This window comes from Homo sapiens, chromosome 5, assembly GCF_000001405.40.
Source record: "Homo sapiens chromosome 5, GRCh38.p14 Primary Assembly".
Taxonomy (NCBI): Eukaryota; Metazoa; Chordata; class Mammalia; order Primates; family Hominidae; genus Homo; species Homo sapiens.
Window position 1 is genome coordinate 179,476,217 of NC_000005.10, and position 22,613 is coordinate 179,498,829.

General features: G+C 48.2%; 1 non-coding gene across 1 annotated transcript, besides 1 other annotated feature; it reads right to left on the reverse strand.

Moving 5' to 3' along the window:
• Positions 1-15,798: 15,798 nt before the first annotated feature.
• LOC124901224 (U4 spliceosomal RNA) lies at positions 15,799-15,941 on the reverse strand. Its single transcript, XR_007059181.1, has one exon. It is a non-coding gene; the product is annotated as a U4 spliceosomal RNA (small nuclear RNA).
• Positions 19,903-19,952: an enhancer, noted in NCBI's record as "active region_23749". NCBI's record gives its function as "activates an Ori minimal core promoter by ATAC-STARR-seq in GM12878 lymphoblastoid cells {active_cell/tissue: GM12878}" and the evidence as "EXISTENCE:reporter gene assay evidence [ECO:0000049][PMID:35858748]".

Consider the following 22,613-nt stretch of genomic DNA (forward strand, 5'->3'; position numbering starts at 1 on the left):
GAGGACGCAAACGGGCGAGGGGATGTGTGGGGAGAAGTACTTGCTTTTTCTTGCTTTCTTCTTTACAGAATTTGTTCTTTTCCCACAAGGCCACTCTAGCCACACCAGGAGCTTTCTCAGAAGCAGTCACAATCTTTTTCCTTTTTTTGTTTTCAGACAAGGTCTCACAAATGACAAACAACAAGACAAATGACAAACAGGCAAAAAAAAAAAATCTTTTTTCTTCCAAGATAAAACCCAAATTGATTCAGCAGACATTTTGATTAGGAAATCCTATAAATCAGGACCACTCTTAATTTCAGACACTCCGTTATGAAGTGTACATCTACCTCTAGGGGATGAATAAGCCATTGAATCTTTTAAAAACTGGCTTTTTAAAAACTGTTGCCGAGGCTGGAGTGCAGTGGCACAATCTTGGCTCACTGCAGCCTTAAATTCCTGGGCTCAAGTGATCCTCCTGATTTAGTCTCCCTAGTAGCTGGGAGCACAGGTGCATGCCACCACCATGCTGGCTAATTTTTTTTTTTTTTTGAGACGGAGTCTCGCTCTGTTGCCCAGGCTGGAGTGCAGTGGCATGGTCTCGGCTCACTGTAACCTCTGCCACCCAGGTTCAAGCGATTCTCCTTCCTCAGCCTCCCAAGTAGCTGGGATTACAGGCACCTGCCACAGCGCCTGGCTAATTTTTGTATTTTTAGTAGAGACGGGGTTTCACCATCTTGGCGAGGCTGGTCTTGAACTTCTGACCTCGTGATCCACCCCCTGCTCGGCTACCCAAAGTGCCAGGATTACAGGCATGAGCCACCGCGCCCCGCCTAATTTTTGTATTTTTGTGTAGAGATGGGATCTCATTATGTTGCTCAGGCTGATCTCAAACTCCCGCCCTCAAGCAATCTTCCTGCCTTGGCCTCTCAAAATGCTGGGATTATAGACGTGAGCCACTGGGCCCACCTAAACAATCTCTTGAGCCTCTCTCCCATCCTCCCAGCCCAACTTTCTTATTCCATCCTTGCTGGTGTCTGTAGGAATGGACAAGAGACCCTGGATGTTTTTCTGCTCTGTGCTGGCCTCTGTGAAGCTGTGGGCCTCAGGCTCTGCACATCCTCCCCGTGCGGTTTGTCTCCTTCTCCCATGCAGCTGTTCTTTGTGACCGAAGCTGGTTTTAAAATGTGGCTTTCCCCGAGGAGAAATCACAGGCTTTGCCCTTTGAAGCTTAATGGTGTCTTACGAAGGTCCTACCCCCAAATGCGAAGGTAGCAAAGCCAGTTTTTAAGAGATTCAATGGCCTGTTCATCCTCCAGATGTAGATGTACGCTTCATAACGGAGTGTCTGAAATTAAAAGTGGTCCTGATTTATAGGATTTCCTAATTAAAATGTCTGCTGAATCAATTTGGGTCTTGTTCTGGGAAAGAAAAGAATTTTTTTGCCTGTTTGTCATTTGTCTTTTGACTTTGCTTATGTTTGTGTCTGTGTGTGCATGTGCACGTAGGGTTTTGTTGAACATTTTATTTGGAAACAATTATAGATTCACAGAAGTTGCAAGGATAGTATCGAGATGTCCCCATTTACACTTCACACAGTTTCTCCCAGTGACAATATCTTACATAACTATGGTACAACATCAAAACCGGGAAAATTGACATTGGTGCAATGTGCGTCATCTTTTTTTTTTTTCTTTTTTGAGACAGAGTCTCACTCTCTCGCCCAGGCTGGAGTGCAGTGGCGCGATCTCAGCTCACTGCAACCTCTGCCTCCCAGGTTCAACCCATTCTCATGCCTCAGCCTCCCGAGTAGCTGGGACTATACGTAGCCCGCCACCACACCTGGCTAGTTTTTGTATTTTTAGTAGAGAAAGGGTTTCACCTTGTTGGCCAGGCTGATCTCTAACTCCTGACCTCAGGTGATCTGCCCATCTCAGCCTCCCATAATGCTGGGATTACAGGCGTGAGCCACCAAGCCCGACCCAATGTGTGTCATCTTATCATATGTGTAGTTTCATGTAACTATTACAATCAAAATACAAAACTGTCCCATTGCCACAAAAATCACCCTTGGGAGCCACCCCATGATAGTCACCTACACAGCCATGTCCCCACCATCCCTAACCTCTGACAGCCACTCGTCTGTTTTCCATCTCTGTAGGGGGTGAATAGGCCTCCAAAAATGTATGTCCAGCTCCTAACCCCTGGAACTGTGAGTGTGACCTTATTTGGAAAGGGGTCCTTACAACTGTAATGAAGAGTCTCGAGTTGAGATCATCCTGGAGTCAAAGTGGGCCCTGAATCCAATGACAGCTGTAAGAAAAGGAAGAAGGACATTGGAGACAAAAGGCAAAGAGGAGAAGGCGATGTGGAGACGGAGACACAGGTGGCAGTGATGCGTCCAAAAGCCAAAGAAGGTCAAGGATTGCGGCAGCCACCAGAAGCCAGGAGAGAGGCATGAATCCAATTCTGTCTCAGAGCCTTCAGAAAAAACACTTCACTTAAACTGGTAAAAAGCAAAACCAAAACCAAACAAACAAAAACATTGACAAAGGGGAATCCACACGCACAGGGCATTAGAGCATTCAACAAATATGAGTGCCTACCGTATGCCAGGTGCTGGACAGAGCATTTGGCATACTTTAGTGAACAGGAAGGTGAAGGCCCTGCCCTTCAGCAGTGACTTGCTAATGGGTTGTTGTTTTTTCCGGGCTATTTTCTTTCTGCTATTCCGATTGGATAATATATATCATTGTACCTCCAAGTTCATGGATTTCTTTCCTCCATCCTCTCCATTCTGCTGTTAAACCCATCCATTGAGTTTTTATATTGTTATTCTATATTTTATCCTTACTTTTTTTTTTTTTTTTTTTTTTTTTTGAGATGGAGTCTCACTCTTTTTCGCCCAGGCTGGAGTTCAGTGGCGCAATCTTGGCTCACTGCAACCTCTGCTTCCTGGGTTCAAGTGATTCTCCTGCCTCAGCCTCCCAAGGAGCTGGGATTACAGGTGCACCCCACCATGCCCGGCTAATTTTTTTGTATTTTCAGTAGAGACGGGGTTTCACCGTGATAGCCAGGATGGTCCCAAACTCCCTCAGGTGATCCGCCCAGCTCGGCCTCCCAAAGTGGTGGGATTACAGGCATAAGCCACTGTGCCTGGCCTCATTTATTTCTTAATATCATCTATTTCTTTGCCTAGACTTTCTCCTTTTTCATTGGTTTCAAGCGCATTCATAATGTGCACATTGCACCATTTTATGACAGCTGCTTTAAAATTCTTATCAGATAATTCTAACATCTGTGTCATCTCAGTGTTCGTGTCTGCTGTCTCTTCTCATTCATGCTGAGACTCTGTCCCTACAAAAATTAAAAAATAATTAGCCGGGCATAGTGGCATGTGCCTGTGGTCCAAGCTCCTCAGGAGGCTGAGGCAGGAGGATCACCTGAGTGCAGGAGTTCAAAGCTGCCATGAGCCGTGATCACACCACGGCACTCCAGCCCAAGTTACAGAGTGAGACTGTCTCCGAAATAAATAAACAAATAAATAAAAATACACACATTTAAAATATTTGACTCAACTCGTGAATGAATGAAAAAATCAGTAAGCTACCACAACTAGTTTAAAGGAGAATTCAAAGAACAGAGACACCTATGGATCATGAAGTGGATGTATAAATATATATCAAATTGGCTCTTTTTTGGTAGGGTTTGCATTAGCTTCCTCTTGCTGCTATAACAAATTATCACAAATGTAAGTGGCTTAAAACAGCAAATGTATTGTCTTGCAGTTCTGGAGATGGGAAGTCCAAAGTGGGTGGACAGAGCAGAGTTCCTTCGGGAGGCCCCATGAGAGCCTGTTTTCTGGCCGGGCGCAGTGGCTTACGCCTGTAATCCCAGCACTTTGGGAGGCCGAGGCAGGCAGATCACGAGGTCAGGAGATTGAGACCATCCTGGCTAACACGGTGAAACCCCGTCTCTACTAAAAAAAATACAAAAAATTAGCCGGGTGTGGTGGCGGGCGCCTGTAGTCCCAGCTACTCTGGAGGCTGAGGCAGGAGAATGGCCTGAAGCCAGGAGGCGGAGCTTGCAGTGAGCCGAGATTGCACCGCTGCACTCCAGCCTGGGCAACAGAGCGAGACTCTGCCTCAAAAAAAAAAAAAGAGAGAGAGCCTGTTTTCTTGCCTTTCCCACTTCTAGAGGCTGCCCTCATCCCTTGGCTCATGGCCAGGCCTCACTGCACCCTCTGCTTCCAAAGCCACATCTCCTGCCCTAACCCCAGCCCTCCTGCCTTCCTCCTAGAAGGAGCCTTGTGATTACACCGGGCCCTCCGAGATAATTCAGGGTAATCTCCTCACCTCAAGATCTTTACCTAATTTACATATGCAGAGTCTGTTTTGCCGCGTAAAGTAACATACTCAAACTGTGGATATCTTTGGGGGTCCATTACTCTGCCTGCCACGATGGGGAATCAAGTGTTCTTTCTACCAGAAAGAATTAATTTGCACATCTACAGATAAAAATCCTTTGCATTGCTGTTGCTTATCTACAGTTTACAAAATTACAAAACAGCACAAAGACAATGAAAAGCACAAACCCAAAAGTGGGTGGCCCAGAAGAGAGTGCTTCATTTTACACTGTGATCCAAAGCAGTTTTCCACTGAAGACACCTAATCATTCTTCTGGTCCATTTCAAAGGCTTTTACCACTTTTCCTGGTATTTCTAACCTGCTTCATCCCTTTACTTCTAGTTCATGCTTTTTCCTCATTTCTGTCATCTATTTGCCTTAGCATACTTTCAACTCTATCTCTCTTAAACTCCTTTTAACTTCATGTTCATTCTGAAATAGGTTGGCCTTTTCTTCTCATTTTTTTTCTAATTCTACCAGTCCATAATGTCCACCTGCTATCTGGTCATCTCTTCCTCTTGTCTGGCTATTTCTATCGTAAGTTCTTGCATTTCTGCTTTGTGGTCTTTATAGTTGCAACTATTTCATTGAGGTTTTTTTTCTTAATATATGTTGGAAGTTTGGAGTGCAATTTTCCTCCGCCTTTGGCAACACTTTTCTGATATATTTTCTTCGTCTGCAGAGAAATTCTCTTTTTCAGGGTTTTTCTTACAGTATTTTGTATGAATTTGAAGTTATAGCTATTAAGTTACTAATATTTGGGTAAGTTCTTTGATCCCAGGCCAGCTATTAGCAGGAGAATCCTGGGTGTTGGGTGGTGGTTTGTTTTGTTTTGTTTTGTTTTGTTTTGCTTTGCTTGAGATGAGATCTATGTTGTCCAGGCTGGTTTCAGACTCCTGGCCTCAAGCAATCCTCCTGCCTCGGCCTCCCAAAGTGCTGGGATTACAGGTGTGAGCTACCACGCCTGGCCCATCCTGTGTCTTGATAGCATAAACTCAGATGTGGTCCAAGGGTCACCATGAATAACAAACACATGCTTGTCACTTGGAGAATTCCAAGAGCTTTAGAAGCTTCATCCCATGAACTCTAGGGAAAAAAAAAAATCTTTACCATAAAACAGAGGGACTTTCTGATTAGTATGCCTAAGGAAGTGAAAGGCCAAAGCTTATCAGAACAGCCAAGGGTATCAAGAGAGAAGGCCTGGGAAAGAAAAGATGGCAGACAGGAGATCTGTCTCCATAAAGAGATACATAAGTCATGGTACTTGTTCCTCTGGGCCTCAGAAGATGACTGGAAACAGGCAACTCCAGGTCCAGGACATGGGCTGCGTGTTAGAGGGAAGTACTCCTTCCCATTCGAATCCCCCTGAGAGATTGATGGGCTAAGCCAGTAACCACCATATCTGCAAGTGCCCTGGGCCTTCATTTGATGTGGGGCCTGGAAAGATCCTGCTCCAGGGAGGAGTTAGGGCACCTGTAAGGGTCGCCACAACTGGCAGGGGCCCAGCACAGTGGCCAAGGCCTTCACATGCACTTGGTAGACATTTTTTTTGTCATGCTATACAGACTGTCCCTCCAGCTTTTGGAGAAGTAGGGGGCATAGGGTTGGGTCCACCATTGTACACAACAGGGCACAGTGTAAAACTGAGGAGTGGGTCACGTCTGCCAAGCCCCTGAACCACCACCCTATGCGAGATGATCTCACTGATCGTCTTTACTCCTCATGCCACCTCTTGCCATAGGCTGGGTCTCCTCCTCCCTCCTTACATGGTGTCAACCCCTCATCCTCAAATTCTTATGCACAATCCCAAATAAGGCTCCAGGAAAACCTTTGCTCAACCAGAAACTCATGATGGTGAACCTTAAACAAAGTGTCAACCACCCTTGCCCCCTGCTGTCAGCAGCACAACATAGAAGCTTTGATTCCTTCTTCTTCAGCATACCCTTGACCTGCTCTTAGCAAGGCCCCCAGCCTTGACTGCAGGGTGGGGTGTTTCTTCCTGCAGAACTGGGTGTGAAGAACATCATCCACCCTGGCACCCCTGCTCCCTGTCCCTCTGCCGTGCAGCCAGGGGGGCTGCCTGGCCACCTGCTCTGGACTCAGCGTGCACCAGCTCGTTGGGATTCTATTGACTGAGGCTTCCATGTGCCCCCACTCCTGGTTTCCCTTCCACCCTGTCGCCTACTCACGGTGTCCCCAGAGTTCTGCCCTTCTCCTCTGCGTCTCGTGACTTTCACACCCTCCCTGGGTCCCATGGCTTCCCATCTTACCCAGTTGCTAAGGACCCCCCGTTTCTGTTTCCTGTCCAAATCCCCCTCCCATGTGTGGATGGAGACACAGAAACTCTTTCACCGTGGTTTCCTTTAGGGAGAGCTGTGAGGAGCATAAAGTGATATATACACGTTGTAGAGGGTGATTATAAGTGTTTTCCTCCCATCTCAAACTCCTGCTAGTTCTCCCCAGTTTGAGATTGCAGCGGGCTATGATCACGCCACTGCACTTCATCCTGGGCAACAGATTATAATTACTTGGTTTTGTGTTTTTGTCCTTTTTTTTTTTTTTTTTAAGACAGGGCTGGCTGGGCACGGTGGCTCACGCCCGTAATCCCAGCACTTTGGGAGGCCGAGGCGGGCAGATCACAAGGTCAGGAGATTGAGACCATCCTGGCTAACATGGTGAAACCCCGTCTCTACTAAAAATACAAAAAAATTAGGCGGGCGTGGTGGTGGGCACCTGTAGTCCCAGCTGCTCAGAAGCCTGAGGCAGGAGAATGGCATGAACCCAGGAGGCGGAGGTTGCAGTGAGCCAAGATTGTGCCACTGCACTCCAGCCTGGGCAACAGAGCGAGACTCCATCTCAAAAAAAAAAAAAAGGGGGGGGGGGGGAGGCCTTGCTCTGGGCTCAAGCAATCCTCCTACTCCAGCCTCCCAAGTAGCTGTGACTACAGGTATGCACCGCCACATGCAGCTAATCATGCTTTGTAGGGACGGGGTTTTGCCGTGTTCCCCAGGCTGGTCTTGAACTCCTGGGCTCAAGTGATCCTCTCACCTCAGCCTCCCAGAGTGCTGGGATTACAGATGTGAGCCACGGCACCTGGCCACGATGGTCAGCTTTAGGTGTCAACTTGGCTAGACAATAGTACTCGGTTATTTAATCTGTTAAAAAAGTAAACCAAGACAATAAAATGTTAAAGAGTTTATTTGAGCAAAGAGTGATTCACGAATCAGGCAGCTCCAAACCAGAGGTGGTTGGAGGGTTGCACTGAGGACGCAGAGGCACAGATGTTTTAGGGTAAATGTGGAAGAGATGCTGAGAAAATATTTAATTGGTTATAATTATAAGTTGCCTTATTTGGTCTATCCCACTGGAAAGTCCTTAGTTATATAATGAGAAGTTTTTTGGCTGATTCTGACTAGTTGAGCTTAAGTTCTGTTTCTCTTTAACATAGACATTTATAAGAAATAGCTCAAGTTAAGTTTCACTTATGTTTGCAAATCAAACAAGGTGAAGGTCGCATATAGGCCTAACTGGCTTTGTCTGCTCAAGGATTCTTCAGACCTGGTCTTCATTTTAATTGATTCTAACAAACTCAACACTAGCCTAGGTGTTCTGTAAGGCATTTTGTAGATGCAAATCACGTCTGCAGTCAGCCAATTTTAAGAAAAGGAGATTATCCTTGGTAACCTGGGTCAGCCTCATCCAATAGGATGAAAGGCCTTGAGCAGAACTGAGGCTTCCCTGAGGAAGGAGAAACCCTGTCTGGACTGCAGCGTCGGCGCCTGCCAGAGAGTTCCCGCCTGCCCTTCCAGTGCCCTGGCCTACGGATTCCTGACTTGCCCTGACAGCCCCACCTTTGGGGAAGCCAGTTCCTTGCAATGCATCTCTCTCTCTCTGTATATATGGATATACATACTGCTTCTGTTTCTGTGGTAGAGCCCTGACCAATACACTACCTAATAAAATCAATTAAATTCAAACTCATCATTCTCTTTCCCACTATCCTACACCAACACACCCCCCGAGGCGCCCTCCCAGTCCTCATCCTGGTGAATGGCATGGTCTTCCTTGCTGCTGCCCAGGCCAGAAGCTGCGGAGTCTGGCCAGGCTCCTCCCTCTCTCTCCTCCTATACCCAGGCATTGGGCCAGCCCAGGGGTTTTGAGAATTCGCACCCACCCTCCACTCACACCTCCACTGTTTGCCCTCTGGCTTTCCACTGCAGACGTCTCACTAGATTCTCTGTCTCCATGACAGTCTCATCTCCCCTGCCCCAGCCACCAGCCAGGGTGGTCTCTGAGAATCCCATCTGTCCTGTTTAAAGGCCTCTTCTGTGGGCAACATGGAGTCCACACCCCCATGCCGGCCGGCCCTCTCATTCCAGCCGCTGCCCCAGGACCAGGGCATTGGGCCTCCATCTACCTACTGGCTGGCCGCTTGCTTTCCTGAATGCCCAGCAAACCCCAGCCACTGGGGACATGGGCTAGGTCTCTCAGTTCCTACTTTGGAACCTAAAACCTAGTAAGTACTTCAAAACTGTTTTCCTGCAGTGCGATTGAATGGACTTACCCCTCCCTCTCCGTCTCCTCTAACTGCTCATAATACAGAACCCAAGAAATGTACTTAATTAGTTTGGGGGTTACCAACAGGAATTTCACTGTCTTTGTTCATGATTTAATGGTAGGTGATTAGCGCAAAAAAGATGTTGCCCCTTAAGAAAACGAAATCTGCTTTTGTCTCGTGTGTGGTCTTCAAGTGAGTTTTATTTATTTTTATTTTTTTTATTTTTTTGAGATGGAGTCTCGCTCTGTCACTCAGGCTGGAGTGCAGTGGCGTGATCACCGCTCACTGCAAGCCCCACCTCCCAGGTTCACGCCATTCTCCTGCCTCTGCCTCCCGAGTAGCTGGGACTACAGGCGCCCGCCACCACGCCCAGCTAATTTTTTGTATTTTTAGTAGAGACGGGGTTTCACCCTGTTAGCCAGGCTGGTCTTGATCTCCTGACCTCGTGATCCGCCCGCCTCAGCCTCCCACAGTGCTGGGATTACAGGCGTGAGACCCCGCGCCCGGCCCAGTGAGTTTTATTTTTTGTTTCCCGGTGGTGCTTGATACTAAAATATGTTTCACTCCGCTGTTGATCCTTCAACAAGTCTAGAAGAACAGGTGGCCCCAGGGCCATTTCTTTAGGGTCCTAAGCAGATAGGAAGAGCTTTGCTCTGTCTCGTGTTCCAGCGGACCCAACATTCATGTCTCTATTGGATGGAAACTGCTGGAACATCTTCATTTCTGGAGACAGAGCCTGAGTCCTTGGCCCCAGGCCTTTCTCTCCATCCCTGTCAAGCAATTCTTTTAAGTGTTAGCTCCTCGCATAAAGCCTGTGGTCTGCCAGAACCCACCCTGAGGGCCGAGCCCCATGCCTGGCTTGCCCAGTACCCCAGGCTGGGAGCTCAGCAGCCACAGCCTACAACTTGGAGCAGGAAGCACTTGCTGAAAAGGCTCAACGTGAACTTGGACCTGACTTTGACTTCTTCTCTGTTTGAGAGCTTTTGTTTCCCCCACTAGATTCTGGATTCCTAATAACCCTGTGATGAGTCCTCCCTGGAGCGAAGACAGTGAGTAAGCCAGCAGTTGTGTGCTGCAGGAGGCAACTCTGACCCACACAGTTTTCTTGAGTTCATGAATCAAAGATGCCAGACCCTGAGCCCCAAGGGCCGGGTGCCAATGGCCCTGTGAAGGTCATCCTGTGGCCCTTGCAGGCGGAGCCTGTCTTTCCTCTGTGCAAAGCGTGCTCTTGCTGCCCACCGTGGGAAGCTGGGCCCCTGAGTTCCAGCCTCCCTTGCAGAGATGTGCGCTTTCCCGGTACTTTTCCGCCCTGGCATTCTGCATGACTGCCAGGCAATCGCTCGGAGATAAAGTGTACCCTTTATAAGCCCAGAACTTTAAGTTTCTCTCACACAGAGATCAGACTCCTAAAGGGAGTAACTGAAGACATTCTGAAAGCTCCAGGAACAGAGGAGCAGAAGGAGGCCGCCTGCCTCCTGCCAACAGCCAGTCAGGTGAGCTGCGAGCCACCTGGCTGTGTCCCCGGCTGCCCTCCGGGGCCCACTGCCATGGAAACCGCACACAGCATCGCTGCTTGAGGAGCCAGACGAACACAGCTGGCAGGGCCACTGGGTGGGCAGAAGGCAGCTGAGCAGAGCCTCGGGAAGCTGGGCTTCTCTTCTCAGCCCTGCCGCCCCCTCTTCACCGTGTCTGGAACAAGGTATTGCCCCACTAATGGTTTGCTCCCTTGAAAGGGATAAACAATCTCACGCTTCGATTCGAGGATACGGAGCCCTGGTTCTGAGGCACCAGCTGCTCTGTGAGCCTGAAGTGACTCACATAGTGTTTGAATCAACATGCACTGCATGGCGATGACAAGGACCGCTCTTGAGGAAGCCAGTGGGAAAGTGGCCCTCAACCTTTGCAGTCGGAAAGCATTGTAGAGAGATTCCTCGTCCCCAGGGTTTCTCCCCAGGCCCCTCCATGTCATGTAAGGAGTGGTAGCATTCATGTGCTACCATAGCAGGTAAATGGAGCAATTAAAAGTTACAGAATCACTGCAGTCTCTTCCCCATCCTTCACAGCCACTGGAATTCACATCTGCCTTAACGGAGTTCTGGCCTCCTCCTTCCTCCTTTGTGAAACCCTCTGTGGCTGCCCATTGCTTGCAGGAAAAACCCAGAGCTCTGAGTGCATGGCAGCTCACGTTCTTCACAGTCTGGCCCTGATCTTCCCTCCGGGTGCTCGACAGCTTGAATGTGGACCCCAGCCAGCCTGCCCTCCACATCACCCCTGCGACACTTAGTTCCCTCAGTGCGTTCTCATCTGAACACCACACAGCAAGTGTACCACATTGTCCACTGACGGGTGGCTTTCCTTTTGCGAATAGAAACTTTAATAGTACCCAAAAACAAATACAGTACTTTGAAAAAAAGGGTGCAAATATTTGTTGGTACTGGGAAATAAGAAAGGGTTAGAAATATTCTGACTCGGCCGGGCGCGGTGGCTCACGCCTGTAATCCCAGCACTTTGGGAGGCCAAGGCGGCCAGATCACCTGAGGTCAGGAGTTCAAGACCAGCCTGGCCAACATGGTGAAACCCCGTCTCTACTAAAAATACAAAAATTAGCCAGGCGTGGTGGCGCATGCCTGTAATCCCACCTACTCAGGAGGCTGAGGCAGAAGAATTGCTTAAACCGGGAGGCAGAGGTTGCAGTGAGCCAAGATCACACCATTGCACTTCAGCCTGGGTGACAGAGCGACACTCCATATATATATATATATGGCCAGGTGTGGTGGCTCACGCCTGTAATCCCAGCACTTTGGGAGGCCGAGATGAGCGGATCACAAGGTCAGGAGATTGAGACCATCTTGGCTAACATGGTGAAACCCCGTCTCTACTAAAAATACAAAAAATTAGCTGGGCGTGGTGGGGGGTGCCTGTAGTCCCAGCTACTCGGGAGGCTGAGGCAGGAGAATGGCGTGAACCCGGGAGGCGGAGCTTGCAGTGAGCCAAGATCGCTCCACTGCACTCCAACCTGGGCAACAGAGCAAGACTGTCTCAAAGAAAAAGGTTGCCTAGAGGGGGAGGTGGGGGAAGGAGAATGAGCAGGTGGGGATATCTTTTCATATCATTTTGATGGTTTGAACTATGTCATGCATCTCCCATTTGAAAGTTAAACATATTTTTTGAAAAATTATACAAGCATAAGACATTGTTAAATTCAGTCACTTCACAAAAACATGTAAAGTTGGACTCCAAATGCCAGAGGATCCATGGAATCTAACTGTTCTGCCTCTTCTCCCCTACATGAAGCTTCCTCAAGGGCAAGCATCTTGTCCTATTCATCTTTGCGTCACTGGGCCCAAGCACATAGTAGATAATCAACAAATCTTTATTGAATAGATGGGTTGTGGAAACTGACAGCCACAGATTAAACGCAGAAGAAGGCACTAGTGCACATGATCGGGACTGCTCACTTTATTTAACAAGAATCACCATAGTGATGAGAGATGTGTGAGGGAAACGGCACTGCGGTTGCCAACAGCAGCAGGCTGGGGCCAACGGGCTCCCGGAGGCAAAGCCTGGACCATTTCTGAATGAGGGGCTCATCATCGCCTAGAACTTTATGCTTTGTGTGTGTGGGGGGGGGTTCTTTTTGTAAAATTGTATTCATTTTAACAGCAAATGTTGAAAATGTTTCAATATGCATTCTCCCCTAAAATGTGTAGTTATAAGATAAGAGACTTGGTTTTCTTGCCATTTTTCCTTTGCTGATTAAAAAGAAGAAAAAATAAAAAAAAAAACAGGAAATGAAATCTGGTTTATATATAATTTGTCACACATGTAAGATATCCAACTTTGTAAGCACTCCAAGTTTTCATTAACTCTGCTAAAATATATTTACATTAAGAAATTTCCCAGCCCTAATGTCATTAGTTTCAAACTTCCAAACTCAGTTGTTTTGCTAAAAACGCAGATCAGGGCCAGATGGAGGAACAAGCACCCCTGATTGACCTCCCTCCGAACCAAAATCCCATAAATGACAGAAATATCTTCCTTAATTAGAAGTAGCACAAAAGGGAAAGAAAGGGGAAGGAAATGCATCATGTTCTGGGAATAAATCAGCAAGGTCACCAGCATCGCACAGCATTTGCCCCCAGTTGATATAGAAAGTGCGAATACTTGGTCCAGAGAAGAAAGACAGTCTCCCCAGGAATCACTGACTCCCTGTCCCTGAGAAGGACAGGGAACTCATGGCCAGGTGTGGTGGCTCACGCCTGTAATCCCAGCACTTTGGGAGGCCGAGGTGGGTGGATCATGAGGTCAGGAGATCAAGATCATCCTGGCTAACACAGTGAAACCCTGTGTTTACTAAAACAATACAAAAAAAATTAGCCGGGCATGGTGGCGGGTGCCTGTAGCCCCAGCTACTCGGGAGGCTGAGGCAAGAGAATGGCGTGAACCCAGGAGGCAGAGCTTGCAGTGAGCCGAGATTGCACCACTGCACTCCAGCCTGGGCAACAGAGAGAGACTCCGTCTCAAAATAAATTAATTAAATAAAGCGGGAGGCTGAGACAGTCACTTGAGGCTAGGAGTTCAAGACCAGCCTGGCCAACATGGCAAAACCCCTTATCTACTAAAAATACAAGAATTAGCCTGGCATGGTGGCGCACCTGTAATCCCAGCTACTTGGGAGGCTGAGGCAGGAGAATCACTTGAAGCCAGGAGGCGGAGGTTGCAGTGATCTGAGATCACCCCACTGCACTCTAGCTTGGATGACAAAGCAAGACTCCATCTCAAAAAAAAAAAAAAAGTAAAGTGGAATTTTAGAAATCTAGGCACATTGCAGCAAAATTTTGGAATACCAAGGAAAAAAGGAAAATCCTCATAGTTTTCTGACCGAGAGAATAGGTTGTCACAATAGAATGAAAGTCAGCTTGACATCAAGACTTATCATCAATCCCGAATCCTAAAAGATAGTAGAGCAATTTCTCTAACATTCCAAAGAAAAAACTATTCGTAATCTAGGATCCAAGACCCAGCCAATCTAGCCTTAAATTGGGGGTGCAAAATAAAGACATTTTCATGCATATATGGGTTCATCCCACCTATAAACTCCCCCCAAAGAATCTAAGAAAATAAAAGAGATCAACTACAGTAAGTGCTGGAGGGAGAAATAAAGACAGAGATGATGCACTAAACTGGTCTTAAAAATATGAAACTAAAGTCTCCAATGAGCTCAGTGTGGTAGGGAATTGGTCCCAGGCGGGCAGGAGCAGCGGCGAGAGAACGGCGATTAAATTCACATTCCCAGTGCGGGCAGGACTGTCCCAAAGCAAGAACAGAGCTTTCTGCAAATGATCCGGTCAGACCTGTCTCACTTCTGAAAACAACCTCATTGGGATTTCTAATAAACTGGACTGATTCACTAAATAATTGGACTAGCAAACCAAACCAGTTTTACCTTTTTTTTTTTTTTTTGAGACAGAATCTCGCTCTGTCGCCCAGGCTGGAGTGTAGTGGCATGATCTCAGCTCACTGCAAGCTCCGCCTCCCGGGTTCACGCCATTCTCCTGCCTCAGCCTCCCGAGTAGCTGGGTCTACAGGTGCCCGCCACCACGCCTGGCTAATTTTTTGTATTTTTAGTAGAGACAGGGCTTCACCGTGTTAGCCAGGATGGTCTCCATCTCCTGACCTTGTGATCTGCCCACCTCGGCCTCCCAAAGTGCTGGAATTACAGGCGTCAGCCACAAAGCTCTTTCTCTTAACTTACATTGTCAGGAAACTGGTAACATAGATTGAATGACCCGCCCCAGTTTTTCACCCACACTCACACCCTCGCCATAGCCTCCCTTTCCCACCCCTTGACTTTGGGCTTGGCCAAAGGGATGCCAGCAGGCATGACACAGCAAAACTGGAAATGTGTTTGTGGGGTTAGATGTGCCGTCTCTCAGGGCCCTGCCATCAGCCAGAGACGAAACTGCCCCTGCTGGTCCCAGGAAGAGGATGAGAGGCATGTGGAGCAGAGCTGCCCAGCCAACCCACAAACTCATGAGTAAGAAATAAATGATTATTACTGTTTGCCACTGAGATGTGGGGATGGTTTGTTACACAGCATAAGTGTGACAATAGCTAACTGATACTCAGAGGGCAAGTGCCACTGCAGCAAACATGAGGAGGAATTCCTGAGCCTTTATATTAAAGTGGCTGCTCTCACTAGAGACACGATTGGACTCTGGCTGGTGCGATGACTCACACCTGCAGTCCCAACACTTGGGAGGCCAAGAGCAGAGGATTGCTTGAGCCCAGGAGTTTGAAAGCAGGCTGGGCAATGGATCAAGACTCCATCTCTACAACAACAACAACAAAAACACAGTGTTTTGAACTGAAGGAGCCATACAAAGGATGTCATACAGATTTATTAAATTCAAAACCAGGCTGGGCACGGTGGCTCACACCTGTAATCCCAGCACTTTGGGAGGCAGAGGTGGGCGGATTACCCGAGGTCAGAAGTTCAAGACCAGCCTGGTCAACATGGTGAAACCCCGTCTCTACTAAAAATACAAAAATTAGTCAGGCGTGGTGGTGCACGCCTCTAATCCCAGCTACTTGGGAGGCTGAGGCAGGAGAATTGATTGAACCTAGGAGGTGGAAGTTGCAGTGAGTCAGGATTGCGCCACTGCACTCGAGCCTGGGCGACAAGAGCGAAAGTCAGTTAAAAAAAAATCCAGAAAAACTACTTTTCTGGAATGCAAATCAGAATAGTGGCTGCTTGGGGATTAGGGGACAAGGGAAGTTGAGTAGACTGTAAAGGGATTGGGGGGAATTTTCTACAATGGTGGCAATGTTTTCTGCCTTGATTGGGGTGTTGGCTACAGATAGATATTTGTAAAAAGCCATTGAATTATATATTTAAGATCTGTGTGTTTTACTAAACTATTCCTCAATTTTTCAATTAGCAATAATCACGCCTCGGATAAACCTCATTGGCTATGATACTGCCACTGCACAAAGCTATTCCTCAATTTTTAAAAACATGTCTGTATGGAGTGGATACCCAGACCAGGGTGAGGCTGAGGTGCAAACAGGCCTACCTGAGGTGCCGGGCAGCCTTCCAAGACTCCAAGACTAGGTGGGCTCTGGGCAGACAAAGCCTCCCTCTCACAAAAGGTCTGGGAACCCTTTTCAGGGGGCTCAGAGTCCGGCCACATCTCTAGGTTTTCTGACGTCCTAGACACACCATGAGAAAGAACTTTGACTGGGCTCTCAATCTGGTTGGTGACCTAGGATATGGGGCTCATACCCAGGACCAAGAACCCAGGGCTTCTATCCAGAGCCTAGGACTTGGGGCTTATACCCACGGCCTAAAACCTGGGGCATATACCCAGGGCCTAGGACACAGGTTTATGCCCAGGGCCTAGGACACAAGGCTAATACCTAGAAAGAACACAGAACTTACACCCAGGGCCTGGAACTCGGGGCTTATAACCAGGGCCTAGGACATGGGGCTTATACCCAGAGACTAGGACACAAGGCTTATAACCAGAAAGGACACAGAACTTATATTCAGGGCCTAGAACCCGGGGCTTATACCCAGGGATTAGGACATGGGGCTTATACCCAGAGCCTAGGACACAAGGCTTATACCCAGAAAGGACGTGGGGCTTATACTCAGAGCCTAGGACACAAGGTTTATACCCAGAGCCTAGGACATGGGGCTTATACTCAAAGCCTAGGACATGGGGCTTATACCCAGAGCCTAGGAAACACAAGGCTTATATGCAGAAAGGACACAGGGCTTATACCCGGAGCCTAGGACATGGGGTTTAACCCAAGGTCTAGGACACAAGATTTATACCCAGAGCCTAGGACAAGGGGCTGAGAACCAGAGAATAGGACACAAGGCTTATACCCAGAACCTAGGACAGAAGGTTTATACCCAGAGCCTAGGACACAAGGCTTGTATCCAGAGCCTAGGACCCGGGGCTTCTACCCAGAGCCTAGGACCCAGGCCTTACACCTAGAGCCTAGGAGGCGGGGCTTACACCCAGAGCCTAGAACCCGGGGCTTATACCCAGAGTCTAGGACCCTAGGCTTATACCCAGGGCCTAGGAAGCAAGGCTTATACCCAGAGCCTAGGACACAAGGTTTATATGCAGAACCTAGGACCCGGGGCTTATACCCAGAACCTAGGACACAAGGCTTATACCCAGAGGCTAGGACGCGGGGCTCATATTCAGAGCGTAGGACACAGAGCCTGTATTCAGAACACACTAACCTGGAAACAGATGCTCTGAAACACAACTAGGAGAAAACCTGGCAAATGTCAGTCGTGATTGTCTCTTGTCCCCATGCAATAGGATTACAAGTGTTTTCCTTTTCTTTGTTCTTGTTGGTTCCTTATAAATTTAAAATAAATGATTAACCTCAAAAGTATTTGTGGACATGTGATTACATATAGAAGAGTGATTGTTAAATATTCTTTCTCAGGATAGCTTTATACTCTGAAAATCTCCTGTGGACCCTAAGGAACTTTACGTGAATTGCATCTATCAATTTTACTGTAATACAGATTAAATTTGAGGAGGTTTTGAAATATTTACTTATTTTAAAATAGTAATGATTCCACAGTGTCTACATATTTCAAAACATCATGTTGTACACGTTAAATAATTTCATTTTCAATTAAAAATAAGCTTTAAAAAGAATTCAAATTGCTCAATTTTTTAAATTAAAAACAACAAACCCATTGTTGTATGTTAACAATAAATAATTTTGTATGGAAAGCAACAATATCTTCTGCAAAATTAGTGAGTTGCATTGCCGCTGGCAAATCTCTAGGTAGATGTCTGAGCTGATTCTCAGATCTGCTTTTGCCTTCAATCTGTTACAATGTCACACATCACAGCATCTCTGGAAAATTCCACTGTATACTCATGGGAGAATAAGAATGAAAAAAGGCAAATCACATCTTACCATTATTATGAAAATAGTTTTGGCTACACTTTGAGAACTACTAATATAGAGTATAATCACAACTGTATAAAAATAGGCAAATAAAATTTCTGAGTAAAAGTGTCATGGTGCCACCTCGTGTCATCTTTAATTATTGCAATGCCTGCTTACCGAACTTGTCTGTGCACACGTATCAGGTTGGTGCAAAAGTAATCACGGTTTTTGTCTGGGCATGGTGGCTCACGCCTGTAATCCCAGCACTTTGGGAAGCCGAGGTGTGCAGATCACCTGAGGTCAGGAGTTCAAGACCAGCCTGGCCAACATGGTGAAACCCCGTCTCTACTAAAAATACAAAAATTAGCCAGGAGTGGTGGCGCACACCTGTAATCCCAGCTACTGGGGAGGCTGAGGCAGGAGAATCACTTGAACCCCAGAGGCAGAGGCTGCGGTGAGCTGAGATCACCCCATTGCACTCCAGCCTGGGCGACAGAGTAAGACTGTGTCTCAAAAAAAAAAAGTAATCGCAGTTTTTGCTATTGAAAGTAATGGCAAAAGCTGCGATTACTTTTGCACCAACCTAATAGTATATGGGGTGTGTGTGCATAATATGGTTTGTGCATGCAGGCTGCGGACATGTGTGGAAGTATGTGTATCAGTGGTGTGTGTGCAAGTATGTGTGAATATGGTGTGTGCATGTAGTGTGGTGTAAATGTGTGTGCACGCAGTGTCTACATATGGCTTGTATGTGCCTGTATTGCGTGTGTTGTGGATGTGCATGCATGCAGTATGTGGCATATGTGTGTGTTCCTGTGGGCCATGTGTGCATGTGATGTGTACCTATGATGTGTATGTGTACACATGATGCACGTGTGTTTGTTGGTGATGCGGGTCATATATGTGCATGTGGTACATGTGTATCATGTGAATGTGGGGCCTTGTGTAGTGTGGTAGGTGGTATACGTGTGTATGTGTTACAGTCTGTGTTGTGTGTGCGTGCAGTGTGTGTTGCTGCGGTGCGTGTGCGTGTGCCTGTGCCTGTGTTACGTGTGGCATGTGTTGTAGGTCTGTTTGTGTGTGGGGGAGGTGGTGTGTGTTTAGGACTCACACATGGAAGAATGGAAGTAATATTTCACCCCCATCTGCATGCATGCCTGCTCTGTGCTTCCCTTAACATTCAGAAAACATATTTTAAGCTGCCCAGAAAGTATCAGGCAGGCCTGAGTCCCAAGAGACTTCCATTCATTCCTCTCCGACTTCATCCTGTCAGCCTCCTGAGCTAGGCATTGCCTCCTTTTCACAGACTGAGAGGCACAGTTGCTTGCTTCAACTAACAAGTAGTGGATCCAGGATTCAGACGTGGGTCTTCTGACCAAGGAGGAATTCAATCATCTTGTACTAATGTTATAAAAATTAGCAATAAATGTGAATGTAACATAACATGAATGTTATAAAAATCGTTTATATGGTAGGATCAAAAATGTGTAAAAAGGCAAACAGACTTCTGAATAAAAATAATAGGACAGCATCAGCGGGGCACCATCTCCGCTCCCTGACTGTTTCCATCTTGTGTTTGTGTGCATTCAGACCACGCACAGTTAGGAAGGCATTCACTAGTAATCAGCAGGACACCCTCTCCACTCCCTGACTGTTTCCATCGTGTGTTCGTGTGCATTCAGGCCATGTACACAGTTAGGAAGGCATTCACTAGTAATCACTGGGCACTGACTTTATGCCAAGTGCTGTGCAAGGTGCTTTCACATTCAAGTATAAAGGCGGCAAACACAAATTATCCGGCTCAAACATCACATGTGCAAAATGTAACTCATTATTTTTCATAACACAGTTTTAATTTCTGATTCCAATTTCTGAAAATGTAATCCAGTCCCTCTCAGAAAATTTCAGCCCCCAGCCCCATGTACGGTCACTCAGATCCTGCAGGTGGATTTAGACCAACCTGTCCTTCTCTCCCTTTCCTCAGAGTGGTGCCCTGGCATCAGGGAGAACGATGACTGGCCCCTGGCTCCCTAGCATCTGCCTGAGTAGCACATGATGGGCTGGCATCTGTGCCCACCAGCATCCACGGAAGTCCTCCGCAGGGATGGACTGTGCTTGGAGCCTGGGGCCCGGAGTCTGGGAAGGAGGAGGAGGAGGATGCTGATTCCAGAAAGACTTTGCCAAGCTCGCCTCCATCCTGGTCCCTTCCTCTCCCGCCAGCTAGGAGGGGGAAGCACTCGAGGTGCATGCTTTTGTGGCAGCTACACGTGCCCCTGGGGTTTATCAGTCCTCGCTCAAGAAACCCAGGGACACGTAGCTGCTCTCCCTCCCACCCCCTCTCCTCTAGCTCCTGGGTGCTGGGACCCTGCAGCCAGCAGACTTTCCTTCTCAGATGGACACTGCCTCACACGACCCAGCCTGGGGGCCCTCTCCTGGCCTGTGGACCTTATCTCCCAGCTCCCACCAACCTGCATTCTTCCCCACTCTTTTTTTATGTAGAAAAATGTTGAGACAGAGTCCTTCAGGATGTGTCTCTTGATGGCCAAAGCAAATCAAACACATCTTGATTTTCAAACTGGTATCTCCTCTGCTGTGAGCTCTTCAAATCCATTCGGAAACTCAGTTGGCTGCTGCTTCTTTCTGGCTGTGAGGTCTCATGGTCCACCTTTCCCTGGGCCAGGACAGAGCCTTGAAAAAGCCCACGGGGACCACAGTGAAAGTAAGAGCAGTAACTGACATGCAGGGAGATTGCTGGGGCTCAGTCCGACCCCAGGCACACCCGCAGAGCGCCCTGAGAAAAAGGCACGGGGCTTCTCCATAGGACAGCTCAGTGGCAAGGGCCTTGTTGGCCGACTCACCTGCCATTGCTTACCTGCCACTGCCTTCCCCGAGAGAGGGACTTGCCTCCTGCCTCATGCAGGCTGCCAAGAGCCTAGATCCTGACCAGCTCAGTCTGGAGGGGCCTCACCCCCAACAGAAGCAGGAAAAGCCAGGCCACCGAGAATAGAGGCCGGGTCTCAACAGAATCCCCTGGGGAGCTGGAACATATGCAGTCCTGGGCTCCACCTCAGAGATTTGAGTCAGGAGGTCTGGGGCAGGGCCTAAGAATCTGCATTTCCAACAGGCACCCAGGGGATGCCAGAATGCCATGGGTCCAAGACTACACTGAGCAGCACTGATGGGAAGGACATAGTAGCTTGAGCGGCAGGGACCCAAGCTAAGCATCAGAGCGGGGTTGGCCAGTGAAGAAACAAGACAGAATCAGAAAAAAAAAAACTGTAATGAGAAGAACCCTTAAAGAGATTGGTTTTTTCATATTGTTTCTTTGCAATATCTTCTTGACTCTCCTTAAGAGTTCTCGCTACAGTCATTTTTATTATAATTTTTATTTATTTTATATTATTGTATGTTATTTATTTTAAAAGACAGGATCTTACCCTGTTGCCCAGGCTAGAGTGCAGTGGCACGATCACAGCTCACCATAACCTCTAAGTCATGGGCTCAAGTGATCCTCCCATCTCAGCTTCCTGAATAGCTGGGACCACAGGCATGCGCCACCATGCCTGGTTAATTTTTTAGTGTTTTGTACAGATGGGGTTTAACTGTGTTGTCCAGGCTGGTCTCAAACTCCTGGCCTCAAGCAATGCTTCTCCCTCAGCCTCCCAAGGAGCTACAGGTCAGGCCAGGCTCCGCCCACGTGCAGGGCTCGTGGGGCCTCAGTTTCCCTCTTGGGCATCCCAGGTAGGCAGATCCAGAAGGCCTGGGCTAGGCCACTGCAGGGCAGTGCTGGGGGTGGGGATCTCTCCTGGCCTCCTGTCCCAGCTCCCTCTCCTCTTGAAACCCGGTGAAGTCCGTGCTCTTGTGCGTGTCTGCTGTTTACATTTCTCCCATGGATGTATTTGCCTTCGTTTGCATAAAAAATGCCACAGTCCTAATGAGTTTGCCCATCTGGCAGTGCAGGCCTCCTCTCTGGGCTCGGCTCCACTGAGAGCCTCGAGGGAGCCGTTATAATTGGGCCGCTCCCTTCCAGGATCGGGAAGGACTGTCCCGAGCAGGCTCATGGCTCACGACCTGGCCCAGGGCTCCACGGCAGGCTGGAGCGGGCTCCCTGAACTGTGGGTGTCGTGCCTGTGTGTCCATCAGCAGGGGCATCTGGGCCCACCCTGCCTTGGCCACCACCAAGGTAGGCATTTCACTGTACATTTCAAAATCAAATTGGGGCAGCCTCATGGCACCCCGTGGAACTTGTCCCAGGCTGGAAGGATTTGAATCCTGGAATATGGTGACACAGAACGTGTCCTTTGGAAACTCAGCTGTGGGCAGCGCCTGGCTGGGCTGTGTCAGACAGTGTGTCTTAGCCTCTCAGTGTCACTCTGACGACCCCACACTAAGCCCTCTCCCACCTGATGCTTCCAACCATGACATTTATCGCCCCCTCCCCTGGGCCAAGCAGGCTTGATCCTGGCCTCGGGAGACAGGGGTGAAGGGTTCAAGCCTTGTGGCATGGGAACCTTAGGACACAGGCGCTACCGTGCACTGACATGATTGCTAGAAGAGGGGATGGAGGTGTCCAGGGAATCTGGCGGAAGAGGGTCCTGTGCAGTCTAGCATCAGGCTGTGTCCTCTACGTCTCCATGATTGTGTGGAGAGCCCCAGGCAACCTCTGACTAGAGGCAGTTTCCAGAAAATGGTGATGGAGCCCCCTAACCATCCCGGGAGAGTGGGTGCATGCTGGGGGA